The 15,800-nt window shown below is 37.1% G+C and overlaps 1 protein-coding gene and 1 pseudogene across 16 annotated transcripts in view; both read left to right on the top strand.

Annotated features, from left to right (window-relative positions):
* The window catches only part of STK3 (serine/threonine kinase 3), a 598,636-nt gene that overhangs the window by 469,055 nt on the left and 113,781 nt on the right, over positions 1-15,800 (top strand). The window lies entirely within an intron of this gene.
* On the top strand, positions 10,506-10,612 carry RNU6-748P (RNA, U6 small nuclear 748, pseudogene; annotated as a pseudogene).

The following is a 15,800-nucleotide window of genomic DNA, read 5'->3' as shown; positions in this document are numbered from 1 at the left end:
CCAATTTAAAATATGGTTATTGTTTTCTCCATACTTTGAGAAGTTTGACTTTCTAAAGGAGAAGAGGGATGGAATTGTGACAACTGGAGGAATGGCCGTGAGTCAAGGCAGGGTTTTCTTGAGATAAGAAAAAACAATAAAAGTTTAAGATGGGAAATATCAGAAAGTATATCATGTTGATGCTAAAGACAAAGAGAGTTTGAAGATGCACAAGAGAAAGAAGCTAACTGTGTAGATAGGTTTCTGAGAAGACTACTTTGGGGCAATCCAGCCTGTAATCGGAGGCAGGTATGCGAATTCATTACAACAGGGGGTGTAGAAGATGGGTGCAGCAGGAATGTTTGTAAATGGCATTGCTTATATTCAGAAAGAATTTCGGGCTCTTGTGATTTAGAATCACAAGATGTTTTCTTTTAAACAAAAATAATAACTGAATTTCATAGTACTTTCAAAATGTTCTTCATCTGCTGTGTAAAGGCTATTATTGTCTCTCAGTGATCTCTTAGGGATTATAAAAGAGTAACAAATTTTTGAAGGCACTTTACAAATTTAAGTAATTACAAAAATGCTGAGTGCTTTATGTAATCATTGATCTTAATCTCATAATTTTTGGACCATTTCGCTCCTAATTCTGGATTTTATGATCCATACTTGTTCTCATTCTCCTTACTATAGCTTTTCATGTTCTGATTTTTATTTTGTTATGTGGGTTTTGCTAGTTCAACAATAGTAATTACTGTTGAATTATAATATTTATTGTAGATAAAGCAGAAATAAAATAAAGTAAAATTTTATTTTGGTTTATTGTGAGAAATCTTTTTTTAAATGTTATGTGACAGATGATAAAGCCTATGATAGGCTAATTCATAATGCATTCAGTCATTTGGAACATCTTAGATTTTGAGAGAATTGTGTTATTTAAGGAAATGACTTATCATTGTAAGCCTCATTAATCATCTATAAAGTTAAGAATAATGCCTGTTTACAGAATTATCTGCCCCATTTCACAGCATTATTTTGAGGTTCATGTGATACAATGTATGTAAATATGCTTTGTAAATTGTGAAGTACTGTAAAATATATTATGATTTCAAAAATATTAGGTCTCAGGCTCTGTGGCCAATTATAAACTCCCCTCTCCACCATAAGGTGTATGTGAGTAAACATTCCAGGAAATAAACACTCAACTGGCATAGGGTTTTAGTTTAGTTTTTAAGCATCATTGACTTGCAAGTGTCTATACTAATCTGAATCTAATTTAAAATTTTTAAGAAGCCATCTCTTTTTTGGAAAAATTTATTATGGGCAGTAAACTACATATATTTAACTGCATTGTATAGTGTTTAAGAGTGCCAGCTCCAAAATTCAGTTCCCTTGGATTCAAATCCTGGCCACATTTTTTTATTAGCTAAATGTCTTAAAGTTCAAACTCTTGGTGCCTCTGAAAACTTAAATTCTGAAAAATGGTGATACTAATAATACTAATTCATAGGATTATTGCCTATTAAATAACAGCATAGTGTCTGCCAGTGGTAAGCGCATGTTAGCTATTATGTACATATTTATAGCAATATGAATCTCTCTATATAAGAATACTTCTTGTAAAGTAAGTACCTGCAAAGAATTAAATTTTAAATAGCTAAGTACTCACCAGATTTCTTCATTTAAGTAGCTACACCCATGGGATTTTAAACACATTCAGAGGAACATTTTCTCCCTTAAAGCCACCATAATTTACTTTTTTGGTTGACAGATTTACACCTAGTAGGTAGTTGCCCACCTACCCATAGCCCAGCAGTGCTACTGGTGATTCCTTCCTTGTCTAGAAAGATTTTGAATTACAGACAGTCCCAGGTATATGATGGTTCCACTTAAAGTTTTTTGGTGATATGAAAGTGATACACATTCAGTAGAAACGGTACTTGGAGTAGTCGTATAGCCACTCTTTTTCACGTTCAGTACAGTATTCAATAAATTACATGAAATATTCAACACTTTATTATAAAATAGGCTTTGCGTTAGATGATTTTGCCCAACTGAAGGCTAATGTTAATTATTCTGAGCATGTTTAAGGTAGGCTAGGTTAAGCCATGATGTTTGGTAGGTTAGCTGTACTAAATGCAGATATTTTTAGTTTATGATGGCTTTATCAAGACGTAACCCAATGGTAAGTCTATGCATTAAAAAAAAAAAAAAAAGAAAAGGAAAAAAACCAGGCCTCTTTTCTTAAAAGGCAGAAAAATCTGCAGTGTCAAATCTGGCCACCAGAGGGTACTGTATAGCCAGCGACTTAGCCCTCTCTTAGAGGTTGAAATCTTGCCCTTATGAGCGGGTTCAGTGGATGCCACTATTCATATCTGTAGAGCTCAGTGACTTCATGTTTCTCAGTTTCCGATACCATTGATCTGATAGTGGCCCAGCTTCCTAACTTTTCAGGAGCCAGTGATCGAGCTGTAAGCCACTCATCCTCTACAAACCTATAAACTCTCTGAGCCAGTCAAGCTGTAACTTCATTCACCCTTACCCTTTTCAGAAGCCACCTGCCTATTCAGAAGGCTTTGGTACATTGCAGTTGATTTAGGATCATTTAATTTTATTCTGTTGTACTGCTTCCACTTTTACCACTCTCCCTCAGGTGTTCTATCAGTTAATTTCTAAGTGGGATATAAAAGATTTTACGAAATTGTTACCAAATATTCAACACTTGGTCACCCTGCAAGATTAAAAACCCACACCTCTTAAGAGTCAGTAAACAGTGTCTTGTTTTTTATACTTAGAGCAGAGATTTACCAAGGGTTGGGGAAGCTTATGCTGTCACCCTAGCAAAATTGTCTAGGAAAAATGTCATCTTTAAAATTAGTTGATATAATTAAGGATGACACTCACTAAAGACCAATGAAAGACAGTTTCTGGTCATTGAAAAATTAAAAAATAGCTAGCAGAATCTGCAATTTCCTCAGTATTTAAGAGTTATCTCTCCCTTCTTTTGACAGCTTGGTCCAGCACAGCTGACTATTCTGACTATAGAAACAACTGTGAGAGTGAGGGTGGCCTACTTAAAAGGCCTTGTACTGAGTACGGGTGAGATGAGGCAGTGAACACCCCTGTGAAAAGAAAATGATTAAGACTATGACTGTCTCTCACAACTGGGGTAATTAGAAGAGATCTGTGGGTTGGCGGTGGCAGGGCTAGGGTGGACCTGACAGAGTCACAAGATCATGCACTGTGGTTAAGAGAACTGTAGCAGGAGGAGGTTCATTCAAATGGGCATTCCTAACTGAAAATAGGCTAGAAGAACTTAGGTAAATCATGGGTATCCAGAAATGGGCAGTGTTGTGTGGACCAGCTTGCAGTGTTTTTGGCAGTTTGAAGGTAATTTCTTTGCATGTGGTATTTTTCAAAATTAGTTGATCATTTCTGGTATTGCACCGCTACTCTGACTCTAATAATGGAAAGTTCACTCACGGTGTTCTTGTCTAAGAATGCTTTGGAGAATTCTAGGATCTGTTAGTACCAGGTACTAGCAGCTCAGCACTAGGTCTGCTGGGTCATTTATTTCAGATTGAGAGTTACATATATTGTATGTGAATATAAACCAGTTTCAGAATAATTATCCAGTGGATAAGCTCTTCCTTGAATAACAGTGTATGTCAGTCAGTTACTAATATTTTTTGGAAAGTTCCTCAAGAGCACATTGAATTCAGCAGCCACATAGCTGTGTTATTACTTTTTCCACAGGAGGTAAACCAACAATATGTCTTTCATATGGTCAATAATTAAAGATGCATTTTTCCTTTTATCCTTATTAAAATGGACTTTTTAAGACTGAACTGAAATTTCATCTTGTAAAATAAAAATGTGAAGATTTACTAGCAAAACTACTCCATATTAATGTATATTATTCAAACCAGAGCTGAAATTCTGATCCCCAAATTTCCACTCATGACCACAGTCTCCCGGCTTCCCAGTAGATGTAAAGTAAGATCAGCCATTCTTTGTGCTGTCCCCCAACCTCAGTTCTCTGCCTCTGCTTCCATGTCCACATTAGTAGTGAGGCCACTCAGAAGGCAGGTGTCTGGCTCAAGGGAGGATAAAACCAAAGCCTTGCTGCCTTTGCAAGAGGTGCAGCTTGGTCCAGCCCCAGCGCTGAAGACTTGCAGGAACATTTGGGAACACACTCATTTTGCAAGGTATTATTAGAGATAAAATTTTGATGCCATGTTCTCTATTAAATTAGTTGATACCGAAAAACAGTTTCTAAAAATCTAATTTGGCGCCATTCTCAGACCGCCCCCCCGCCCCCGCAAAGAAAAGCCTTTTTGGACCATTCGTGTATTATAATCATCTAAGTGTGAAAATTTTAGTTTGTAATCAATGTTTACTCAGCCTTTTGGAAGTAATGGTGGCATATTACTTTCTCATCTTTCTTTTCTTTCTTTTTTTTTTTAAAGATGGAGTCTCACTCTGTCACCAGGCTGAAGTGCAGTGGCACGATCCTAGCTCACTGCAACCCCCGCCTCCCAGGTTCAAGCGATTCTGCTGCCTCAGCCTCCCGAGTAGCTGGGACTACAGGCACCCGCCACCTCGCCCAGCTAATTTTTGTATTTTTAGTAGAGACAGGGTTTCACCATGTTGTCCAGGATGGTCTCGATCTCTTGACCTCGTGATCCGCCTGCCTCAGCCTCCCAAAGTGCTGGGATTACAGGCGTTAGCCACCATGCCCGGCTCTCATCTTTATTTTCTGTGATTTCTGCATATTAGTTGCGCAGTCTAAAATGCTGACATAACCCACAAACACTGTTGTCCTTTCCCCAATTCAGAAAGTTGAAGATTTGAAACATTTACATTTGAAAGTTGATTCTTCCCCCATGAGACACATCTAAGTTAATAACTAGCAGGACTTATGTTCATTTATTCTCATTCTCTACCTTCTTTTACCTTAAATTCATAGCATTTGTGAGCATATTTTAAAACAAATATTAATGAAAAAACAATAGAATCTCAGTTTCATTCAGGCGACGATTTTGCTTTTAAGTTTGCACAAGACAGCTTATTTATTATTAAGGTAGACAAAATCAATTTTGCTTTTTAAACATTTTCATAAGAGCCTCCTATCCTTTTTTCTTGTGTCCTTACAAATATCTGAATCTCTTCATGGGTGTTTTAGTTTAATTTGTACATTTGTCTGTCAGTAGCTGGGAAAATTAAATATTGTTTCAGCCACAAACCATGCCATTCTAAAATTGAGAATGCTAAAATGTTTCCTTTTTGGTACATTTTATCTTCTAAGGCCCATGTGGCAAGTGAGAATGCAGAACTATGATCGAATTTATTTTTTCTTTTGAAGTGTTTTAGAAACATTTTGGCATATTTTGAGTTTTATTGTTTTAAAAATAGTTAACAGACCACGATTCTTATTCTGAACTGTTTTAAATGAACTGTGGATTTAGATGCTTCGAAACTAAAATATGAGACTCTTGTTTATTTCTAGATGTTGCTTCACTATTAAAAATTATCTATTACAATCTAAATTGCATGATTTGTGGGTTTTAGCTAACCTCTTTCATTTTAAAACTACTTTATAGATTTTCAAGAAACAAATATTTACATTTTTATGATATGAAGATAGTATAATTTAAATTGTTAGACTAAGTATTGTGATGTCAGTGAAGCAGAAAATTGTGACATTAGTAAGAATGATGCTCTTCCAGCACACTTCACTCCATGCATGTTTCCTCAAAGAGTCAACTATGGTATTTATTATTGTTTTGGAGAATTTTTTGAGAGAAGCCATTATTCTAAGAAAAGGATGAGCCCCTTATTATTGAAATAAATGTATCATCAGACATGCAGAATAAACATGTAGTGGAGCATGAAACTATCCTGTAGTAATATTAATTAAACATGCTGAAAAAATACCCTCATCTTCACAGATACTCTTTTTGCTTTACTTCAACTGCAAATTTACCAACTTGATGCCACACACACACACACACACACACACACATTTTTTAAATAGAGTTAATAGATGTGTACTATGACATCAAAAGGGACTTTCTGTTACCACAAAATTGTTAGTAGAGTCCACAGCTGAAAACAGCAGGTGTTAAGTACCCGATATTCTAAAGCATGCCACCAACAACTGAAGCCAGCCGCCTCCCTCCAGCGATTACTAAGAGACCCACCATTTTTCATTCATTCAATAAATATTGATTAAGCACCTACTATGTTTCAAGCAGTGTTCTAGGCACTAGAGATGTAGCTGTTTACTAGACAAAGGCCCTATCCAAATGGAATTTATAACCTGGTGGGAGGGGAAGAAAATAGTTCTCTCCTTACCTAAAGTCAAATAAGGAGCCTTCCAGAGATCCATTCACAGAGAATGGTGGTGCCTGCAGGAAAGGGATACGGTTACCTGGTACCCCAGCAAGGTGCTTACTGAGCTAGCTGAATCTGTAGACCCACTGGTGTGCCACTAAAGGCAGAGCCTTTAGTTCCTGGAAGTTTGGAAGGTATATTAGCATAGACACTGATATCTGCTTCTCTCCCAAAGATTTTTGTAGGTAGGAGACTTCTGTAGGTAGAGCCGAGGCCTGCGGGATAACTAAGGGCCATTGGAGTAGTGACCCTTACCTTCCTTGGGTCCCACTAGTCCCTGGAGAGTGTAGAGAACTTCCATGATCTCTTTACTCCAAAAGAGGAGGTCAGAAGTCATAATGCTGCCCAGGTGGCTTTCAGGTCAGAGGAGACAATATCTAACTCAGAAAAGATGTTGGGCAGCCCCTCTATAAAAGGGGTGGGCACTAGGATAATACTAACCACAACATCAGGAAATACATACACACGCTTTCTGTGCACAAACCACTAGTAATCAAACAAACCAGAGCAAGACCAGGGAAACATACCTCACTGACAAGTCACCATTTACATAATAACATCCGGTCTCCTTCCTGCTCCCAGCACTAGAGGAACCAGACCTTAGAAAGAGACGGCGAGAAGGTTCTAGATATAGACATCATCCTTCCCCACTGTAAATTGGTGCAAGCTCATGCTAAGGGAAGGGACAAAATTTGCACTTAATAAGAGATTGAAGTTTATATTTGGTCTGGACTTTTAATAAGTAAAAGTGACCAGAAATCAGTGAAATCATCCCAAGATTTACTGTGGGATATGTCAAGGAAATTTGACTTTGCATAGCCGAAAGAGTGTAATTGGAGAAAAATTAAATTACTTTAAGTTTATATTATTGCTCCACAGAGGTTTGACTACCCAGTAAGCTAGTTACAGATATACTTTAACCACTGTTGTTTTTGTAATGTTTGTGATCTTCCATAACAAATATTTCTCATATAATGTTTTTCTTAAATTGAAGTATAAAAAGAAAATTAATCACTTAATTTGTTAACCTCTTATTTACGGCTTCATTGGTGTTTTAAACTATTCAAAGTGCTAATCAGAATCGCTGAGATAAGAAATCAAAGGTAATACAATTTTTCATCTGCCCTTAATAGATCCAGAAAGATTTAATTACTGGTTGCTTTTGAGTTACTTAAATTTTGTTGTCCTGGGCCTAGAATGTTAGAGCTGCTTACAATATATCAGAAGTGTGCCCAAATTAAGTATTTCCTGATATTTTTAATAAGCAAAGCTACTTACCAGAAACGGAAAATGCACATAAGAAATGGGTGCTCAGCTGCCATTGAGGAATGCAACGAAAATTTCATCATTCCTTTTTTAAATGGGTGGCCGAGATTTCTCTAAGACAAGATAATTATAGTAATGCTCATCAGTTTGTAACTCCTGCACTAGATTCAAGGTAAACACAGCACCAAACCAACTGTGGAACAGTCTGAACAGACATAGGCAAAGTCTCACTGGAATGTGAAGGAGACATGTTTTATTGGTTTTGTCAGGGTATCTCTGTTACATTTATTGATAACATTAGGAAATCTATCCCAAAGGGCTATGTAGAAATGTGTTTCTTTGGCTAAAGAGCTGGTTAAATAGAAAAATGCTTAATTAACACATATGCACTTATTTCATATGGCCAGTGATGGCTAAAATACATGAATAGCTTATAAGTAAAATGCTTCACCAGGTACAATCTGACAGGAAAGTTGGGATTTTTAAGTAATTTTTTCTATTTTTAACCTATAAACAATTTGTGAAAAAACTGTTTCACATGATCATTGGATTTTGTAGTGCTTTTGTAGTTCATGGGAAACCCATGAAACAGCTATCAGTAGACTGCAGTTCAAATTTATGTGGGTTAGATGTTGCCTTTGAGGGCCTACATAAGCACCTCTAGCTGAGAGACCTAGGGTGGATCATTTGATCTCTCTAAGCATCCTCACCTGTCAAACGGGGTTGGTAATATCTGCCCCCTAAGGTGATTGCTAGGCTTCAATGACTTAGTGTACAGGACCTTAGGATAGTATTCAGCACATTGTAAATAATCAGTAATTGGCACTTTCTCCTACTCCTTCATTGATATTCATGAGAAACCGTATTCTTCCTTTTCTTTGGGAATGAAAATCTAGAATCCTAAGTTTCTTCTAGGTGCTCTGAAGTTAAACAGCCAAAACAGAATGATTCATGGTAGTTTCCAATTGTAATCCCAGAATATTTTTAGTTATTCAGTCAGCTGAAGACCTGGGCCTCTCAGCTCAGAACAGGATAAATAATGTCTGTTTGGGGAAGGGGGGTCTGCCAGTAGATTTGATGTTAATGCAGCTTTTAAGATCACATTTTTACAGTGAGGAATTCAGCTTTTCTTCTATAGTGTTATCAAGTGCCTGAAATTATCACTATCTTATTTTTGTAAATGCATATTTTAAATGTATATGTAGGGTTTTCTTTAAACAGGCTTCATAGTAGTTTGGATTGACTAGAATGCTCCTTTTTTGTATGCTTCTCAGTGCCAGGAATTAAATCAGGAAAATGCCTTAATATATGAATGTTTTCTTTTCTTTTTTTTTCTTTCTTTCTTTCTTTTTTTTTTTTTTTTTTTTTTTTAACTTTAAGTACTACCTGTTATCCCTGTGGCTCAGCCTTATGGGCAAAAGGCCCCTTGCCTGTTTATGTATATCTAAACCAATCAGTGGACCTGACTGGATTTTTACTAGTGCTTTGTTGTGTTTCCTGTTCTCATTGTTAGTTAAATGTGTGGCAGCCTCCATCAACAGTGTTTTCTAAAACCAAACAAGATTCTGTTCAACACAGTAAAAATTTCAGCTAAAATGGAATATTAAGGGAAAAAAGAGTATGTTGCTCCAGGCCACAAGAAACTCAAAACAGTCTGAGACATGCACTGGTAAATCTTAAAAATGCTATAGGCAATTCAGCATCAAAACTGCCATAGAAAATTCTTGTTGTTAGCCATTCTGTTGATAGTTCATATTGTTAGAATTGCTAGCAGATGGGAAAATAGATGAGTCAGGATACAGTATTAGCAACCCATATTTTTTTAATCAAAGGCCACTAATAAGGTCTGTAGCATCTGCAAGATTTATTTAAACAGTTGCTAGGAAGAGTTTGTTTTCCCAGTAAACACAGCAAACCTTAGGATTCTCTTGATTGACTGTTTGACTAAATGTGTTAACATTAACATGTAAGACCATTTGCTTCATTGTAGTAGTGTCTCATTTATTTTGACAGACTGATTGTTCCAGCAACTCATAGAATCATTAGGTCTTGAAATGTTATTACATTGATGTATTCAAAACCTTCATATTCCCGTTTCTGCTATTTGAGATTTGACTTCTTAAAAATCGCTCATGTAATTACGACTATTTTTGACAAAACAAAATTATATAGAAATCTTAGTGTTTTTCCCCAGAGATTTTAAGATGAATTATTTTATGAAGTAAGTTTTATCACTTGACTGTGATATTTTAGGTTTTTATAGTAGACTAGATATGTAAACTTAAAGGAAGTTCTAATTTTACTGACAACTCTTTCTGATCAGTAATAAGCAGACTTTCAATACTTCTTGTAGAGTTCAGAAATAATTCTAATTATTAAAGGTTTGAAATGTCAGAATTATCAGTGAATTGATTTAATCTTATTTTCCACCCTAACTTCTCATATCACTGAGTTTTTTATGCTCCTGTTTTATACAAGAGCTAGTAACTGAGTTATTAATTTGCGTATCTTTTACTTGGTTTTTTTTTTAGAAATACTGAGAAATGTCATAGTTTTGTATATTGATCTTTCATCTCCTGAATGAAATGTAATTATCAAGGGCTATCACTAACAAAATGAATTTCTTATTTAAGCTGTCACTCATGTACCAAACCATATCAATTTACAAACAAAGTGTTGACTCATATTAAAAAGTAGTTTTGACTTTTTAATTTAACTAAAAACAATATTCATCCATCCATAATAAAAATAATGATAACTCATATCAAGGAAACTGTTTTAGGTTCTATGTCCTCTGCTTAGAAGGCAGTATATTCTGTGGAACACTTTATAAAGATTTTCTGTTCAAAACAATTGAGACGGTGCTCACTTCAGCAGCACATATACTAAAATTGGAATGATACAGTGAAGATTAGCATGGCCCCTGTGCAAGGCTCACATGCAAATTCGTGAAGCATTCCATATATTTCTACCTAAATGAGAAGGAACCAGAAAAACAATTCTGGCAATATGACATAACAGGGTTCTATAACACCCCTGAAAAGATCACATTAGCTCTCCAGCAATTGATCTAAACCAAGATGAAATCTTTGAAATATCTTTTTATAAAGAATTCAAAAGGTTGATTATTAAGCTACCAAAGGAGATACGAGAGAAAGGTGAAAAACAACATAAAGAAGTTTGAAAAACTATTCAAGATGTGAATGAAAATTCATTCTACTATGCTTGGTCCATAGAAAAATCTCAATAAATATGTCAGTGAGTACTTTGAAGTTCTCTGACAGCCCACCTGAAGACCTAGCGATATATGTAGCTTATGCAGAAGTCAGATTTCCTGTAAACTCAACCTCATACAACCACAAAACTGAAATCAGATATTTTTAAAATAAATACAGCATAGTAGGTTCGGAGATGAGTAAAACACTCTATCTCCCACAACAAGATTGCAATCTAGCTGGCAAGATAGGCCCATGCACAGCTAACTCACTGAAGGATGAGTAAGATGATAAAATGGGAAATAGGATAGAGAAGGAAAACAGCATGAGTAGAAACAGATATGGCACACGAATGTACTCCATTGTGTATATGTACCATATTTTCTTTATCCATTCATATTTTGATGGACATTTTTTGCTTTCTCATCAGTTGCGGTGAGCCGAGATCACACCACTGCACTCCAGCTTGCGTGACAGAGTAGACTCTGTCAAAAAAAATAAAAAATAAAAAGAATGAATAAGACCTACTATTTGATAGCACAACAGGGTTACTATAGTTAATAATAACTTAATTGTACATTTTAAAATAACTTGAAGAGTGTTATTGGATCGTATTCAAAGGATAAATGCTTGAGGGGATGGATACCCCATTCTCAATGAGGTGCTTATTTCACAATTGCATGCCAGTATCAAAACATTTCAGGTACCCGGTATGCACCCACAAAAAAAAAAAGTGTTTTAATTAAAAAAGAACTTCTAGGAGATTCGTTGCAAAAAAGATGTCACCAAGAGCAGTGAGACAAAAGCGTTATGTAACCTGTAAAGGAAAACCTATCAGACTAACAGCAGATTTCTCAGCACAAACCTTACAAGCCAGAAGGGACTGGGGTCCTATCTTTAACCTCCTTAAACAGAAAACCGTTAACTAAGAATTTTGTATCCAGCAAAACTGTTCCATAAATGAAGGAGAAATAAATTCTTTTTCAGACAAGCAAATGCTGAGAGAATTTGTCACTACCAGAGCATCCCTACGAGAAATGCTAAAAGGAGTTCTGAATCATGAAACGAAAGGTAGATATGCACCAGAATAGAACCTCTTGAAAGCGTAAAACTCACAAGGCCTGTAATACAATAACACAATGAAGAAAACAGAGTATCTAGAAAACAACCAACGTGATGACTGGAACAGTACCTCACATTTCAGTATTAATGTTGAATGTAAATGGTCTAAATGCTCCACTTAAAAGATACTGGTTGGCAGAATTGATAAAAAATTACAAACCACATATCTGCTGTCTTCAAGAGACTTACCCAACACATAAGGATTTGTATAGACTCAAAGGGGTAGAAGAAGATATTCTATGCAAATGGAAAGTAAAAGTGAGCAGGGGTAGCTATTCTTATTTCAGATAAAACAGAATTTAAAGCAACATCAGTAAAAAAAAAAGACAAAGAATGACATTATGTAATGATAAAAGGATCAATCCAACAAGAAGATATAGTCCTAAATAAATATGCACCTAACTCTTGAGCTCTGAGATTCATAAAACAATTACTCTTAAATCTAAGAAAAGAGATAGGTGCAACCCAGTAATAGTGGGGGACTTCACCACTCCACTGGCAGCACTAGACAGATCATCGAGGCAGAAAGTCAATGAAGACAGGACTTAAACTTCACTGTAGAACAAATGGACATAACAAATATTTACAGAACATTCTACCCAAGAATTGCAGAATATACATTCTTCTTATCCAAAATTAAACATTCTCCAAGATAAACCATATGATAGGCCTAAAACAAGTCTCAATATGTTTTTAAAAATCGAGTTGATTCATAGTTCTGCGTGCCTGGGGAGGCCTCAGGAAACTTATAATCATGGCAGATGGTGAAGGTGAAGCAAGCTTGGACCTTCTTACATGGTGGCAGGAGAGAGTAGAGAGTGAAGGAGAAAGAGCCCCTCATAAACCCATCAGATCTTGTGAGAATTCACTCATTATCATGAGAACAGCATGGAGGAAACTGCCCCCATGATCCAGTCACCTCCCACCAGGTCTCTCTCTAGACACATGGGGATTACAAACCAAGATTATGGAGATTACACTTCAAGATGAGATTTGAGTGGGGACACAGCCAAACCATATCATTCTGCCCCTGGCTCCTCCCAAATCTCATGTCCTTACGTTTCAAAATACAATCATGCCTTTTCAATAGTTCCCCAACGTGTTAACTCATTCCAGCATTAACCCAAAAGTCCAAGTCCAAAGTCTAATCTGAGACAAGGCAAGTCCCTTCCACCTAAGAGCCTATAAAATCAAAAGCAAGTTAGTGACTTCCAAGACACAATGGGGGTACAGGCATTGGATAAATGCTCTTATTCCAAATGGGAGAAATTGGCCAAAACAAAGGGGCTAAAGGCCCCATGCAAATCTGAAACCCAGCAGGGTAGCCATTAAATTTTAAAGTTCCAAAATGATCTCCTTTGACTCCATGTCTCACATCCGGGTCACATTGATGCAAGAGGTGGGCTCCCATGGTCTTGGGTAGCACTACCCCTGTGGCTTTGCAGGTTACAGCCCTCCTCTCAGCTGCTTTCACAGGCTGGTATTGAGTGTCTGCAGCTTTTCCAGGCATATGGTGCAAGCTGTCAATGGATCTACCATTCTGTGTTCTGGAGGAGAGTGGCTGTCTTCTCACAGCTCCACTAGGGAGCACCCCAGTGGGGACTCTTTATGGGGTCTCCAACCCCACATTTCCCTTCCACACTGCCCTACCAGAAGTTCTCTTTGAGGGCTCTGCTCCTGCAGCAAACTTCTGACTGGACATCCAGTCATTTCCATTACATCCTCTGAAGTCTAGGTAGAGGTTCCCAAGCCTCAATTCTTGACTTCTGTGCACTCGCAGGCCCAACACCATGTGGAAGCCACCAAGGCTTGAGCTGAAGCCATGGCCCGAGCTGTACCTTGGCCCCTTTTAGCCATGACTGGAACTGAAATGGCTGGGATGCAGGGTGCCATGTCTCAAGGCTGCACAGAGTAGCAGGGCCCCTGGGCCTGGCCCATGAAACTAATTTTCCTCCTAGGCCTCCATGCCTGTGATGAAATGGGGCTGCTGGCAAGATCTCTGACATGCCCTGGAGACATTTTCCCCATTGTCTCGGCTCCTTATTACTTAACGCAGATTTCTGCTGCAGGCTCGAATTTCTCCCCCAGAAAACAGGTTTTTCTTTTCCATCACATCATCAGGCTGCAAATTTTCCAAACTTTTATGCTCTGCTTCCCTTTTAAACATAAGTTCCAATTTCAAACCATCTATTTGTGAATCCATAAAACTGAATGCTTTTAAGAGCACCCATGTCACATCTTGAACACTTTGCTGCTTAGAAATTTATTCCCCCAGATACCCTATCATCTCTTTCAAGTTCAAAGTTTCACAGATCTCTAGGGCAGGGGCAAAATGCCACCAGTCCCTTTGCTAAAGCATAGCAAGAGTGATCTTTGCTCCAGTTGCCAGTGAGTTTCTCATGTTCGTCTGAGACCACTTCAGCCACGGCTTCATTGTCCATATCACTAACAGCATTTTGGCCAAAACCATTCAACAAGTCTCTAGGAAGTTCCAAACTTTCCCACATCTTCTTAACTTCTTCTGAGCCCTCCAAACTATTCCAACCTCTGCCCATTACCCAGTTCCAAAGTTGCTTCCACATTTCAAGTATCTTTATAGCAGCGCCCCACTACCTCAGTGCCAGTTAACTGTGTTAGTCCATTTTCACACTACTATAAAGAAATACCCAAGACTGGGTAATTTACAAAGGAAAGAGGTGTATTGATTCACAGTTCCATGTGACTGGGGAGGCCTCAGGAAATTTACAATCATGGTGGAAGGTGAAGGTGAAGCAAGCCTGGACCTTCTCACGTGGTGAGAGGGGAGAGCAGAGTGAGATTGAAGAAGGAAGGGCCCCTTATAAAACCATCAGATATTGTGAGAACTCACTCACTATCACTAGAACAGCATGGAGGGAAACTGCCCCCATGATCCAATCACCTCCCACCAGGTGTCTCCCTAGACACATGGGGATTATGAGGATTACAATTCATGATGAGATTTGGGTGGGGACACAGCCAAACCATATCAGTAAAGTCTTAGGTTACAAAATCAGTGGTACAAATCAGTAGCACTATTATATACCAACAGTGACCAAGCTGAGAATCAAATCAAGAACTCAACCCCTTTTACAATAGCTGTAAAATAATTAATAATAATAATAGTAATAGCAATAAATTACCTAGGAATATACTTAGCCAAGAAGGTAAAAGATCCCTACAGGGAGAACTACAAAACACTGTTGAAAGAAATCATGCATGACACAAATGGAAATACATCCCATGCTCATGGATTGGAAGAATCAATATTATGAAAAAGACCTTACTGCCCAAAGCAGTCTACAGATTCAGTGCATTTCCTATCAAAATACCAACATCATTTTTCACAAAATTAGAAAAAAATCCTAAAAGTCACATAGAACCAAAAAAGAGCATATGTAAATACATGTGTGTGTGCACATGTGTGTGTGTGTGTGTGTGTATATGTGTGTGTATGTGATATTGAGACAAAGTTTTATCACTTAAAGAACTAAGATTTAGGTACTTCATTAATTTACTTACATGAACACCTAATTCCTTAATAATGTTAGATAATGTTTCTCTAATATCACAGACCTGTTTTTCACAAATTTTACGCATTGATAATATAAAAATCTGTTAAAGGAAGAAAATTTTTCTTCTAAGTAGCTTCTTTTTCTGAGTTCAGTCTATTACTGCAATACAATATTTATAAACCTATTGGCAGTTTGCCCCAGTAAAAGTAGTACAAGATATTTACAGGAATATCTTAATTCAGAATTAAAGTAATGATAATTGTTTGCTTTATATAATATGTTAGTT

Source organism: Homo sapiens, chromosome 8 (genome assembly GCF_000001405.40).
Source record: "Homo sapiens chromosome 8, GRCh38.p14 Primary Assembly".
NCBI classification, from domain to species: Eukaryota; Metazoa; Chordata; class Mammalia; order Primates; family Hominidae; genus Homo; species Homo sapiens.
Note: the sequence above shows the minus strand (reverse complement) of the source record. Positions and strands in the feature narration are given on the sequence as shown.